The following is a 13,867-nucleotide window of genomic DNA, read 5'->3' on the forward strand; positions in this document are numbered from 1 at the left end:
CAAGGATAGAAGTGTCAGGGAAGCAGATTTTCATTCAACTTAAAGAGAAGGAGGGCGAGAGCTAACATTGATTCAATGTATCTGCGTGCCATGCTGGGTGCTTGTGAGGGGTTTAATACTGGTGGTTGTATGTCATTTGTCCAATAACTTGAAGAGGGAGTTATTATTATTTTCATTTCACAGATGAGGCCACAAGATGGAGACGGAGCGGGTTGCTCACCCAAGTTCATGCAGCGCCCATCTGACGTTCCCCCGGGAGGAGCTGCAGGGCCTTCTTTCGAGGAGGTGGCAGAGGGGCTTCCTGCGTGCAAAGGAGGGTCCCACCAGCCCTTTTGGAACCTCAGCCTGGTCCTCCAGAATTTCACCTCAAACTACTGGAGTCTAGGTCCTGAGTCCCTCCTTATAAGCCCCTCATTTCTGAGTTCAGCTACGAGGCCACTCCAGGGACTCCAGGTTGCCCCTTAGTCCACACAGTTGCCTGTCCTTCCCTCCAGGCTGATGTGAGCCCTGGGGGCCCAGGCAGGCTGGGGATGGAGGCCACGCAGTGAGGGTGGAGAGCACAGGCCCTGAGCAGGAGGGGACGATGAGAAGCAGGCACCAGAACCTGGGAATCCACAGCTTTACCTGCCCCAGGGCCCGGCTGCTGAGCTTGCACAGTGCAGAGCACAGCTCCAGGTGACCTCAGCTTGGATGAAGCTCCTTGGGAAGGGGGGAAGGAGGGAAAGAGAGGATCTCTTGTCAGGCCTCCAACCCTGCCACCAGAGGATGGAAAAATCTGACCCCATCCCTGTGCCTTAAACTTAGACGCTCAAGAAACATTTGTTCAATTCATTGTTTACGTTCTTTGGTTAAGAGGTATAAGTAAGTTTAAGAGGCAGGAGCTATACATGCATAATCTCATGTGTTCCTCACAGGAAAACCATTAAAGGAAGAAATTGAAGCTTAGAGAAGTTCTGTAAGATGCTGAGGTCACACAGTAATAAAGAGATAAATGTGTGTTCTCATTACTGCGCTTTCTTGTCTCTCAAAGCAAGGAACCAGCTCACCTTGTCTCTCCCAGCTCCTCACCTCCCGAGGCAGCAGGGACAGGAGCCCTGGGCCTGTTCTCCCATTCCAGACACATCTCTTCTCTTCCAGACAGGGGCTGTGGCTCTGCCATGGGGTTCCTGTTCTGGCAGAGCCAGGACACAGGATGGGGGTAGGCTTCACCTCTGTGATGGTCTGTTTTATGTGTCAACTTGGCTAGGTCATGGGGTACCCAGATATTTCAAACATCACTCTGGGTGTTTCGGGAGGGTGTTCTGGGGTGAGATGAACATTTGAATTGATAGAATCAGTAAAGAACATTGCCCTCCCCAACATGGGTGGGCCTCATCCAATCAGGTGACGGCCCGAACAGAACAAAAAGGCTGAGTAAGATGGAACTCCGCCTGCCTGACTGCCTGAACTGGAACTGCGGTCTTTTCCTGCCTTCAGACTCAAACTGAAACCTCAGCTCTCCCTGGATCTCAAGCCTGTGGACAGCAGATCTTGAGATTTGTCAGCCTCCATAATCACATGACCCGATTCCTTATGATAAATCCCTTTCTGTATATACATACAACCTCTTCGTTCTCTTTCTCTGGAGACCCCTGACTAATATACCCTCTCTCCCTGACTCTCCCTTCGAGGGTCCCCTTCCTAAGGGGAAAGAGCAGGTTGAGGAGCCCCACCTGACTTCCGTGTTCCTGATGCCCCAGCTGAGAAAAGGCTGGGGGGCTGATAACGCAAGCAGCGTAGACTAACTCTGCATCAGCACAAGCTCTTGCCACTGCCAGAGGATCCTTTAAAGCTCCCCTGATTCACATGGCTAGAATTCTCCCGTTCTCTCCAGAGACAGGGGCCGGCCACCCTGAGGTGGAGAGTGCTGCCGGATCCCCACACTTTATTTCCATAGGAACCTCTAAGGGAGATCGGAGGAGATTCCCAGTCTGGGGAGTGGGGGAATCAAATGAGTGGCCCGTATGCACTGGTCACCAGGGGCAGTCAAACCTGACTCTCAGGGACCACCTGCCATTCTGCTCCATAGCTGAGTTAGGAGGGAAAGGGAACTCGAGACCCTGAGGAAGGCATGGAAGGGCTTGGCCGTGGATCGAGTGAGGGTGGGATAGGGGTCTGTCCATACAGCCTCTTCATGCAGCCACTGTCCCAGGCAAGTGAGAAGCCAGAGTGCCACAGTGACATCTTGGGCCCTGGAGGAGCCACCTGGAATTCAACTCTGACAGCTCCTGTCTTGGCTGAGCCTTGGAGAACCTGAAACCGGACATCAGATCCCCCTTCTCACTGGGGTTCAGGAATCTCATCCTCCGTCTAACCCTGCCACCAGAGGATGGAAAAATCTGACCCCCTCTCGGGCTGTCATTCAGAGACAGCTAGACAACAGGATATGCTCCAAGAGCTAGAGAGACAGAGAATTCAGAGAGCCCTGGACAGCAGGAATGCTGGGCTCCAGCCCAGCTCCGGGATCCAGACTTGATAGTTCAAATCTAGCTAGGAGCATGAATGGTGCACCTACTGCATGCTGGGCACTGTTCATCCGTGTGTGTGCATGAGCGCATGTGTGGACAGGCATGAATGAATGAATGAATGATATCAAACACATATGTGTGCATGAATTATATCAAAGATTTGTAAAGTACATAAAAAATAAACGTACAGCTTGAGGAACTGTAACCCTCACTCGACTCAAGGAACAGCACATTTCAGCACCCAAAAAGCACCCCCGTGTGCTAATTTAAGTCTTGTCATTTGATATTCACAATATACTCTTTACAACAAAGAAGGTGTTATTATCCCACTTATCTGTGAGGAAGCTAGGGCCCAGGGAGGCTCGGAAACGTCCTCGCTTTTCAGATTATCACCAACCCCAGCTGTCTGACTCCACAGCTCCTCCCGCCACTCCACCTAAAGGTTGTTTGAACCTCAAGGTCCCTGTGGTCGGGAGTCCTGTGTTGGGCAGGTAATTGGACCAGAAGAGTTTGGGGGCCTTTCTCAACTCTGTCCAGTGATTCTAATTTTACAATATCCTTTGAGCGAAAATGCAGGGAGCTCGTGGTCCTCTCCCCTGGGTCTGCCCCAGCCACGTCCTACCCTCCCCAATTCTGCATTATGGATGGGGTGAATCATCTGGTAAATAATTAACGAGTCATCGAGGCACTGAGGGTAACAGGAGAGCAGGGGTGGAGGCATGGGCAGGGCTAAAGTTGGCAACCTGAGCCAGACCACCATCCTCCCAGGGCTGGGCTCTGCTCTGGGTAGAAGGGGCCCACAGGTCAGGCAGGAGCCTCAGGTGGGTGGCCATCAGGGAGATGGGGCCATGGTGGGTCAGAGGGCCCAGCACAGCCCAGTCAGCCTCCTGCTGCTGATACACCTCTGCCTTCTGCACCTGAGGGCCTCAGGTGAGTGATACTCAGACCCCCCAGGGGGTTCATTTCCCACTCCCATCCCATTATTCCTGCCACTTCCTGGGGGATCCTCCTTTTGCACTCCATTCCATGAAGTCCGTTCAGTCATTCATCGGCTAGACATTTAACTAGCGTTCACTGAGCGACTACTATGTGCCACGTAGGTGAGAGCACTCTGCTTAACCTTGAGAAGCTGGAGTCATCCTGAGAGCCACTGTGAGGTGGTAAGCCTAGGAGTGGTATGGTCAGATCCAGGTTTCAGAAAGCTCCCTGGTTTTGAGGGGGATTAGGGCAATCAGGAGATCATTGCCATAATCCAGGTGAGAGATGCTGGCATCTTGGGCCAAAGCAATGTCCATGGGGTTGGAAGAAATTGGTTTCTGGGTTACATATTTTTATTCTTTTTTTTTTTTTGAGATGGAGTCTTGCTGTCACCCAGGCTGGAGTGCAGTGGTGTGATCTCGGCTCACTGCAACCTCTGCCTCCTGGGTTCAAGTGATTCTCCAGCCTCAGCCTACCAAGTAGCTGGGATTACAGGTGTGTGCCACCATGCCCAGCTAATTTTTGTATTTTTAGTAGAGCCAGGGTTTTGCCATGTTGGCCAGGCTGGTCTCAAACTCCTGACCTCAGGTGATCTGCCCGCCTCAGCCTCCCAGAGTGCTGGGATTACAGGCCTGAGCCACTGAGCCCGGCCCCAGAGACTTACTTTCATGCAAATTTGCTGAGGTCCTCAGCACTTCATGGCATGAGGCCCACCCTGGCCACATGTGAGGGGACAGCGGGGAACATGGTACTTGGGCTTAGGCTGGGGTTGAGGGCTGGGCCCTGAGCCGAGAACACCTGTTAAGTGACTTACTCCACAGGAACTACTTAATGGCTGGTCCCTGATAGACTGGGAACTCCATGAGAGCAGGGGTGGGGGGCTCATTTGTCCTTGTGACCCCGGCACTCTATGCTTAGTTGAACGAATGCTGGATGGGCTGATGCGGGCGGTGTCCTCTTTCCCTTGCTGCAATCAACTGGAACAGGGTGGGAGGGAGCCCTGGGATCCTCCTGGAATCCTTACACAGGAACTCCAGACCCCGAGCCACCAGTGGCCAAGCAGATCTCCTTATCTCCAGGGTCACCATCGTCACGGGACTGATCATCAGACTGATCTTGGGGCGCTTGTTACAAATATGGATTCCTGGGCCCTGACCCCCTCACCACCACTGGGAGTGTCTGACTTGATAGTCTGGGGTGACGTCCACGAATCTGCCTTTTGGATGGTCTAGTGACCCATGAGGAGTGGGGATGTCTGCTCCAGTCCATTCTCTGACTTCAGTCAACCCCTCCTTCAGTGCATCCAAACAGGAAACCCAGAGGCTCCCACACAAACTGTCTCTTGCCCACCAACTCCAGAAGTGCTTTTATGTGGTCTTCCTGAACCCTGCCTGGGCCGCTTGGGACTGCAGAACCAAAAAGAGAGGCTCCAGGCAAGGCAGGGAGTGCAGGAGAGCCCAGAGCAGCCCAGAAGTCCTGCTATGCCCCTTCTCTCCCCAGGCCAGCCCCACCCGACCCCCGAGGCCCCTGTAGAGGAGGTGGTGTCTGTCCAGGGAGTGCGAGGTGGCTCCGTGGAGCTGGCCTGTGGCTCAGGGCCTGCCCCGCTGCTGGTCCTCTGGAGCTTCACCCCCCTGGGCTCCCTGGTTCCCCGGCCTGTGGCCGTCACCGATGGAGCCATGTCCAAGGTGGAGGCCATCGCCTCGGCTCTGGGAGTCGTGAGTCTGAGGAACAGCAGCCTGGTGCTGGGGGAGCTTCACGAGGGTGCCCGTGGCCACTTCCTATGCCAGGTTCTGCACGTGGCTGGCGGCCAGCTCCACGCTGCCTACTCCCACCTCACGCTGGCTGTGCTGGGTGAGGGCCTGGCCCCAGCTGCAGCTGGTCCGCGGGCTGCTTTGGATTTCTCTGGAAGTGTGCTGCCCATTCCCTTTGTGTGTGTGCGGGACCCAGGTTCTAAAGGGCGCCCCACTCCAGGGACTTTGGAAAGCTGGGGTGATGAGGAAGGGATGGTCAGGGTGGGTGGGCTGGTGAGTCCCCAGCCAGCAGGGGTGGGGGCGCTGGACACAGCTGGGCGTGTCCTGGGTCTGTAATAACACAGCGGGCCTCTCCCTCCTCTGGCCAGTGCCGGTGTCCAAGCCTCAAGTGCGACTGAGTAACCCGTCCCCTGTGGAGGGAGCCTCCGTGGTGGCCACGTGTGCAGTGCGGGAGGGCACAGAGCCCGTGACCTTTGCCTGGCAGCATCGGGCACCCCGAGGCCTTGGAGAGGCCCTGGTGGGGGTCACTGAGCCACTATTCCAGCTGGACCCTGTCAACCGGACACACCTAGGGTGGTACATGTGCAGCGCCAGCAACTCCGTGAACAGGCTGAGCAGTGACGGGGCCTTCCTGGACGTCATTTGTGAGTCAGACTGTGGTGGGGGGGCTGTCAGGGCTGACACCCATCTCCCCATCCACACTCAGCCTTCCACACCTCAGAACTCCCCAAATCCCTCCACTGCAGGAGTGCCTCGCCCTCTAAAAGTCTCCAGCAGGCAAGAGTCACGGGGTGCCGTGCCCCTGCTGCCCACTGCAGCTCTAGTTCCAGGCTGTTAGCCTTATAAAGGTCAAGGACACCCTTTTCCAGGAAAACGTGCATACATTCATGCTTACAATTTCACTCACCATTTCACTGGCGGCCTGGAGAGTCTGCCTTTAGGTTGAGCCTGGAGGGCTCTCAGAAACCAACAGGACCCCAGGAGACAGGAATGGGGCCACAGTGGGAGGAGAGGGCAGCAAGCCTGAAGTTAGAAGTCAGGAGCCCCGGGTGAAAGATGAAGGCCAGGGTGGCCTGGAGCTCGCTGTCCCACATGGCAGCCACGCATGTGTATCTTCGGTCACTTGAGATGGAGCCAATCCAAACTGAGCTGTGCTGTAGGCATGGAAGGCACACTTGATTTTGAAGCTTTAGTCCAAAAGAAAGAATGTAAAATATCCGTAACTTCTATATTGATTATATATTGAAATAACATTCTGGATATATTTGGTTAAATAAATATATTCTTAAAGTAAAACACCTATTGGTGGTTTTTGTTTTTGTTTTCTGCTTGATCGGGTTTGGTCATTTTTACGTAAGATTTGGCTACTAGAACGTGTTATAAAAAAAAATCTGTGTCTGGCATCCGCCTATTGGACGGTGCTGGTCTTAGACGTTTTAAGGAGCGAGGACGAATGGCGTCCTATTTATCGGTCTTCACCGTGGCGGTTTGTGGAAATTGTGAACTGAGGACTGTTGAGGCAGGTGAGCAGGAGAGTTCTTGCGAAAGAGGCAGGAGCAGACTGGAAGTAGGCAAAGAATTCAGAACTCTTTTGGAGTCAGGGAGAGCTTCGAAGATGGTGACCCTGAGCTTGGAACGCAGGAGAGAGGGGAAGGTGGAGTCCAAGGAAGTGAAAGGAGGTGGCTGCTGGGATAGGGTTCAGGACATCATCCCACTGTAGTATCTTACTTCTGCAGTCTACAGTGGCCGAATGTCTGCTTCCAAGAGCCCCTCAGTCTCAGGCACATGGGAAGCATTGGTCCCCTACCTCTCTTCTGCCCCACCTTGGCCCAACCCAGGAGTCCCTCCAGGAAGTGCCCACAGCCCAGGGTGCTCACCTCCACACATAAGCCCTGAGCACCCTGGACTGTGCCCATGGCCCCTGGACTCTGAGCTCTAAGAGGGCCTAGCCTTGGGGTGGACACGGGCCAGTGCATACTACATGCCCCTAGGATGGATGCATACATTCAGAGATGAGCATGTGCGTGAATGAAGGAATGAAGCTGGGGAGGTGTAACTGGCCTTCCTTGCTCTCCAGATGGTCCTGACAAGCCTGTGATCACCATGGAGCCGCTGGGACTCACTGAGGAGGGCTTCTGGGCCAGTGAGAGGGAAGAGGTGACCCTGAGCTGTCTGGCTGCCTCCAACCCACCTAGTCACTATGTGTGGCTCCGTGACCACACGCAAGTCCACACGGGGCCTACCTATGTCATCGCCAGAGCTGGCCGTGTCCACACAGGCCTGTACACCTGCCTGGCCCGCAACAGCTACCTGGACACCCGCACCCAGACTACTGTCCAGCTCACCATCTACTGTGAGTGTGGGGGTCGGGTGACGCCCAGACCTGTCCTGGGGACAACTCACGCTGGAGCCTTTGTGGGGCTGTTCTGGGGCAGACCCCGCCGTCCCGTGGAGAGGCGTGTGCCAAAGCTGCTCTTGTTGGAGGGAGGTCTCCAACCAAGTGGAGTTGGAGGCAGGGAAAGAGGAGAAGAAAACTGTGGGAAGGGGAAGGGGAAGGGGAAGGGAGGGGGAAGCTACTGACACTACATAGCACCCCGCCGCTAAGTGATTATTCCCATGGCCCTGCGGACTGAACTGAGGCACAGAGAAGGGCGATGGCAGTGAGGCAAGGTGTGCTGGCTCCTGGGTGCCCAGGGACAGAGACGAGAATGGGAGATAGGGCCCTCCATGGGGCCTCTGGGATTCCTTGGGGACTCCAAACTCCTGTACACTCGGTAACCTCCTGCCCCTGACCTGAGAGCTCAGCCTGTTCCTCACCAGCCCCTCAGAGAGACTCAATCTTTCCCCTAACCCACTTCTCCCTGCTCCCCTACCCACTGACACCCCTGGCCTCCAGACTCCCCTGCCTGGGCCTGGGGGCTGCAGGGCACTGGCAGTGGAGCCTGCTCCAGCCTCACCCACTTCCCCATCCAGATCCCCCTGAGGGACAGCCCTCCTGTGCAGTGCATCCCAGCCCTGAGGCTGTGACCCTGCTCTGTGCCTGGCCTGGGGGGCTTCCGCCTGCCCAACTGCAGTGGGAAGGGCCTCAGGGACCTGGCCCTACTGCCCCCAGCAACGTCACCTGGAGTCACGCAGCCGCCCAGCTCCCCAGTGGCAGCGTCTTCACCTGCACTGGCCAGCACCCAGCCCTGGCACCGCCTGCCCTCTGCACAGTCATGCTCTGTGAGTGGACACAGGAAACCCCAGGGCTCTGACATTCCAGGCAGAGTGTGGGTAGAGGTCAGGGTAGAGGCGGGGGGCCTGGGATCTGGGTGGCTCTCCAGACCGCAGGCTCCAAAACACGCCATGTAACAAGGAGGTGGGCGGCACTCAGCTCTCAGTCCCCATCTCCCATCTTTCCCATCCACACTGTGCTCTGTTCCCCTCACTTTGGGCTTGGAGCCCTGACACCTCCCCACTGTCCCTGCCTGCAGGGTCAGCAGGCTCTCACCGCCCTTACACTGCACTTCTACCGCTCTGACGCATGTTGGGCTTGAAACTTGCCTTCAGCATTCTCTCTGCCAAGTGTGCAGAGAGAAACTCCCAGCCATCAGCCAAGACAGAGTCCAGATGTCATCCTGTCCTCTTTCCGGAAGCCCCAGGGAGTTTGTCTTTCTGTCTATATTCTAGCACACATCAAATCATAATAATTGTTTAATGTCTGTTCCCACCATTTCCCTGGCACATGATCAATAAATGATGAGTGTGTGAATGAGTGAGTGACAAAGTAATGAAGGAAGGAGGGAGTGAAGGAACCAATGAAGGAAGGGGGATAGGGTGGAACTGCCAAGCCCTTCCTCCTTCCACAGGGCCATACTGAGCCATCATTCCTTCCAGGGGAGCCTCTCGGGAGGCCTACCTGCTGGAGCACAGCCACAATGGGGGACCAGTTCATCATGCTGAGCTGCGAGTGGCCTGGCGGCGAGCCCCCTGCCACGCTGGGCTGGCTTGACGAACAGCAGCAGCCCCTGGGCGGCAGCAGCTCCTCGATGGCCGTTCACCTCCTGCAGGCCCAAGAAGATCTGGCTGGCAGAGAGTTCACCTGCCGGGGCACTCACCTGCTCAGGACCCCTGACCCCCACTGCCACCTCCAGCTGGGTGAGTAGGGGCTAGCGAGTTTGTTCTGGGGCTGGGACAGGAGGAGGAACCCTTTGGAATCAGGATAAAGAGATCTTAGGGGGTGGCTGTGCTGGCATGGAAAGTGAGTCAGTGCGGACGGGGAAGCTAGGAGGTAGTTAGGAGCTGAGCTCCCAGGGACTCAAGTTTTCTTTGATCCATAAAATGAGGGGGTTAGGCTAGGTCAGAGTTGTGTAATAAAAATATAATGTGAGCCATATATGTGATTTAAAATATTCTAGCAGCCACATTTAAAAAGAAGAAGAAACAAGTGAAACACTTCAGTTAACTCAATATATCCAGTATATCATTTCAACATGTAATAATAAAAATTATTAATGAGATATTTTACATTCTTTTTATATCTTGTCTCCAAAATCTGGTATATATACAATTACTGCACATCTCAATCTGGACTGGCCACATTTCAAGTTCCCATATTGACGTGGCTGGTCACTACAATATTGGATAGCACTGATCTAGATGAAGTGGAAATGCCAACTGCATAATCTTCACTTACATGGATTTGCATAAGAGAGGTGCCTGATTATATTAATATTTCAGAAGTCAGTTCTCTACCTCTCTTACTCTGTTTGGTTTTGGTCTGGTTCTTCCTTATCTTCATCTGGCTCTGCCAGTCTATTTACTGCAACCAGGAAAAAAGAATTAAATATCAAAGTAAAAAATAATGTGAGAAAAGCAAACAGAGAAGCTGTCACACACAACAGTTCTCACAGAATGCTTTACCTCTTGGTCTCCAAAGGCTTGGTAACTAGCATGTTCTCAGGGCTCTAAGGAGGTCTCAACCCCAAATATTTCCTTCCCTATTACTTGGTCTCAGGACCGGAAATTCCATCGTAGGAGATTCATTGACACCTGAGAGTCTGGGTCTTTAATAAGTCAGTCCATAAAATCTGAGCACCTGCTATGGTCCCAGCACTATGCCTGGAGCCAGCCGGGAGGTGGGGGGCCACTAGTGGGAGGGAGGCCAGGTGCTGGAAGGGGCCGTTCATGCAGAGACTAGTAAGGCAGGGCCCTGCCTGCAGGAGCCGAGGCTAGGGTGGGGCAGGGAAGGAACAGGGAGGAACACTGCTGATTTCATCATATATTAGCGAGCCCTGGCGCACACTGTGACAGGAACTTGGCATAGAATGGGAACCTGAAGAGAAGGCAGACTGGCCCCAGACAAGCCTCATTGTCAACTCCGCAGCTCTCCCGCTCCATCTCTTCTCCATGCCTTCCAATGCTGGCCAGCACCTTGTCCCCAAGCCCTCCCACTAGCCGGCCTCATCCTCTCTGTCCCCGCAGAAGCCCCACAGCTGGACGTGGCTGAGCCCCGCGTGTCAGTGTTGGAGGGGGGAGAGGCCTGGCTGGAGTGCTCTCTCCGCGGGGGCACACCACCTGCCCAGCTCCTCTGGCTGGGGCCTCAACAACAAAAAGTGGACCCCGGCACTTCAGGATTCATGCTGCACCCTGAGGGTGCCCAGCTGCGCCTGGGCATCTACGATGCTGACCCGGCACACCACAGGGGCACCTACCAATGCGTGGCCCGCAACGCCGTGGGCAATAGCAGTCAGAGTGTGCTGCTGGAGGTCCTGAGTGAGTGAGGGGTTGAATGCGTGTGTGTGGTGAGGTGGGGGCTGGGAGACCAACAGCCACAGAGTGCTTTAAGTGGAAAGGCACAAGGATTCCCTGCTCCAAAATTTGGACGCTTGAGCTTCCTTGGGCATAGGCAGGACTCAAGAGATAGATGGGCAACATGCGCGTGAATCTGCTGCACTCACGGCAAACAGAACGCCATGCAGGCAGGATCGCCTTTCATTTTATAGATGAAAAAAACTGATGGGACAAGGCAGGGCTTCTCAGGTCCACAGACCCCAATCCAGTGCCTTGTCCACACTGCCAGGCTGTCTCTTGACAGGAGCAAATCTGGGGGCACAAGGTCACGTGGTTGTAGGTATACATGTCCCTTGTTTTGTCCCCACCCTCACCCAGGATATCCAGCTCCTCCCAATGTCACCATCAGCCGCCTGACCTACGGGAGGCACCGGAGAGAGGTGCAGCTTCAATGGGCCATCTTAGGACCCGGGAACCTGACGGGCTTCCTGGTGCAGCGGAAGGCCAGTGCCCTGGGCCCAGGAGCTGGGGCGTGGGAGACAGCAGCTAGTGACATCGAGCCAGAGAGCCGAGGACGGCGGCTGGGGGGCTTGGACCCCGGGGTCCTTTATGCCTTCCGCATCCTGGCTCTGAATCACCACACTGCAGGACATCCCTCTGAGGTGAAGATACCAGGTGCCAGCTAATGCCAGGGAGGGACCCACCTTTTCTCCAAAGCGCTGGCCCCTGGTTCATCTTCCTCTTCACAGGGCATCCCCTCCTCTCTTCCTTTGCTCGCATCCTACTGAATTCTCCCATCCCCAGCCCGTCCTCCTCTCTCTCCACTCTCCCCTCAGATAATCTCCACGACTCTTTCCTGTCCCTCCCTGGGGGGCTTGGGAGGCTCCAGGCTGAGGGTTAGGAACCCTAATTCATGTGATCAGAATAGAGAGGAAGGAAAAGGTGCTGGTGACTAAGAACAGGAGCCGACTCTGTGCCTCAGTCTCCCCTCCAGGGCTACAAGCAGGCTCTCAGCTTCCTGCTGCCCCCTCTCCATCCTGGGAATTCCTGATTTTACGGCATGCTCCCCTTCAGCCCCAAGCCGCCAAGATAACCAACCTTTTGTCTTCTGCACCAGAAACAGGGGATTTGGCAGGAGAGTCAAACCCCAGAGCACTAGGCAGACAGAGCGCCGCCTTCCTTGGGAGAGACCTGATCTCCAGGATTCTCTGGGTCCCCATGTCAGCTGCAGGGGGAACTGGATGAGCAGGGCACCGCTTCTCCAGAACCCTAGTGGTTCCCTACGAGCCACTGTGGCCCAAGTTCTGCAGTGGCTCTAAACCATGGAACCTGTGCTCTCCCCTCCTAGCGGACCCCCCCTTCAGCGCCTACCCAGCGGTGTTGGGTGCAGCAGGCACGGGAATGGTGGTAGCAACGGTGGCCTCTCTACTGGTGTTCCAGTATGCTGCCCGGCACCCAGAGACTTTCCCCCGTGAGTGGGAATCGGAAGGGACGGGCTGCTTGACCCCACAGGGTGGCCAGGCCCTGACCTATCCAAAGGAGAGATGCAGCACTCCCGGGGGAGAAGAATCTAGGCTCTTCCTTAATTCAGACCCTCTCCCCAGTGCTAGATGTTGCCATGCAGGGCTCTAACCCCCAACCCAGGCACCTGGGGCCATCCCCTTCTGGGTTCCTGAGGCCCTAGTACAGAGCCCACTGGGAAAGAGACGGCCATTCTCCTGGGATCTCTGCTGGGCTGGCCAAGTAATGCTCCTTTTCTTTTCCTTCCTACAGGCCTTGGTCAATTGCTTGTTCCCACGTGAGTGTGGAACCCCAGTCATCCTGGGGGCCAGGGCTTTCCTCCAGTTGGAAAGGAAAGCGAGGGAAGTGAGTTGCCACTAACTTTACTCTCCCACTTCACTCTCAGGGAGCAAAGGCACCAACAGAGGGGTTCCAGAGAAGATGCTGAGGCACCGGCAGGTAAGCACCTTATCCAGAAAAAGACGACTCGTGTACAAGGAGACCAGTGCTGGGTGCTGAGGGTGATGCTTGGTCTCTCTTGAGCTCTGGGAACACTTGGACACTCCCAAAGCATCCCTCTGTTCTTTGCCCACATATGCTCTTCATAGGCCTTGAAACACCAACCACCACCCCAGGTTTGGATCCTGCACAAGAAACCACGGATTCTCCAGTGAATGTCACCATCACAGTGACTGCAACACCATAAGGCCCAAAGAGGAAGATGCAAATAGGCTTAGGGAGGGCAGGTGGGATTTGGGAAGAGCCCTTCTGTCAGACTTTGGTCATAAAACCAACGTAGCTAAGACACCAACTACCACTTTCACTTAATACCCAGTCTTCACAACTGGTACAAGGCCCAGCTGCAGTGTCCCTAAGTGACATGGTTACAAGAGAAGCCCTGGCCCACCTTGTGGAAGACAGAGGTGGCAGGACAAGGAAGAGGACCCACAATGGGGAGACAGGGATCTCTGGGTGTCTGAGGGCAAGTGAAAGCCATGGTACTGGGAAGGATCTGTGGTGCTATAGAAGTATGAGCAAGCTAGCTGCTTCCAGAAAAAAAGTCTGTGGATGGAGCAATTCCTAAATAAATCAGAGCTGATGTTCACGCCAATAGAGGGCTACTTCCATTGCGACTCCCACAGAGACAGGCTGATGGCTGGGTCCCAGGTTTGGCTAGTGGGAAGAAGCAAGGTGTGTAGGTGTGTGTTCCTTTGCTCAACCATAGCTTACGAACATCACTGACGCTGCAGTGGTCCGACTCCAGGAGTCGCAGCCCACAAGATACGGAGCAGAGGTACTGCAGATGTAGCTTCCCGCCCCCAGGCTGGGGGAGCTGGCCCACAGAGCACCGGGGCTGTT

General features: G+C 55.0%; 1 protein-coding gene across 3 annotated transcripts; it reads left to right on the forward strand.

The window, feature by feature from the left end:
* The first annotated feature begins 3,343 nt into the window (after nucleotides 1-3,343).
* VSIG10L2 (V-set and immunoglobulin domain containing 10 like 2) lies at nucleotides 3,344-13,619 on the forward strand. Of its 3 annotated transcripts, NM_001365077.2 has the most exons (12): nucleotides 3,344-3,437; nucleotides 4,986-5,336; nucleotides 5,605-5,880; nucleotides 7,314-7,589; nucleotides 8,210-8,458; nucleotides 9,113-9,373; nucleotides 10,700-10,990; nucleotides 11,387-11,683; nucleotides 12,357-12,479; nucleotides 12,782-12,806; nucleotides 12,915-12,967; nucleotides 13,117-13,619. In NM_001365077.2, the coding sequence occupies exons 1-12, from the start codon at nucleotides 3,356-3,358 to the stop codon at nucleotides 13,212-13,214; spliced, it is 2,382 nt and encodes a 793-aa protein (NP_001352006.1). In that variant the 5' UTR covers nucleotides 3,344-3,355; the 3' UTR covers nucleotides 13,215-13,619. The 3 variants fall into 3 exon arrangements, with proteins under 3 accessions (NP_001352006.1, NP_001378900.1, NP_001378901.1); NM_001391971.1 differs by lacking the exons at nucleotides 3,344-3,437; nucleotides 4,986-5,336; nucleotides 5,605-5,880; ... (3 more) ...; nucleotides 12,357-12,479; nucleotides 12,782-12,806 and having other exon boundaries at nucleotides 9,089-9,373; nucleotides 11,387-11,511; NM_001391972.1 differs by lacking the exons at nucleotides 3,344-3,437; nucleotides 4,986-5,336; nucleotides 5,605-5,880; ... (4 more) ...; nucleotides 12,357-12,479; nucleotides 12,782-12,806 and having other exon boundaries at nucleotides 9,089-9,373.

This window comes from Homo sapiens, chromosome 11 (genome assembly GCF_000001405.40).
Source record: "Homo sapiens chromosome 11, GRCh38.p14 Primary Assembly".
NCBI classification, from domain to species: domain Eukaryota; kingdom Metazoa; phylum Chordata; class Mammalia; order Primates; family Hominidae; genus Homo; species Homo sapiens.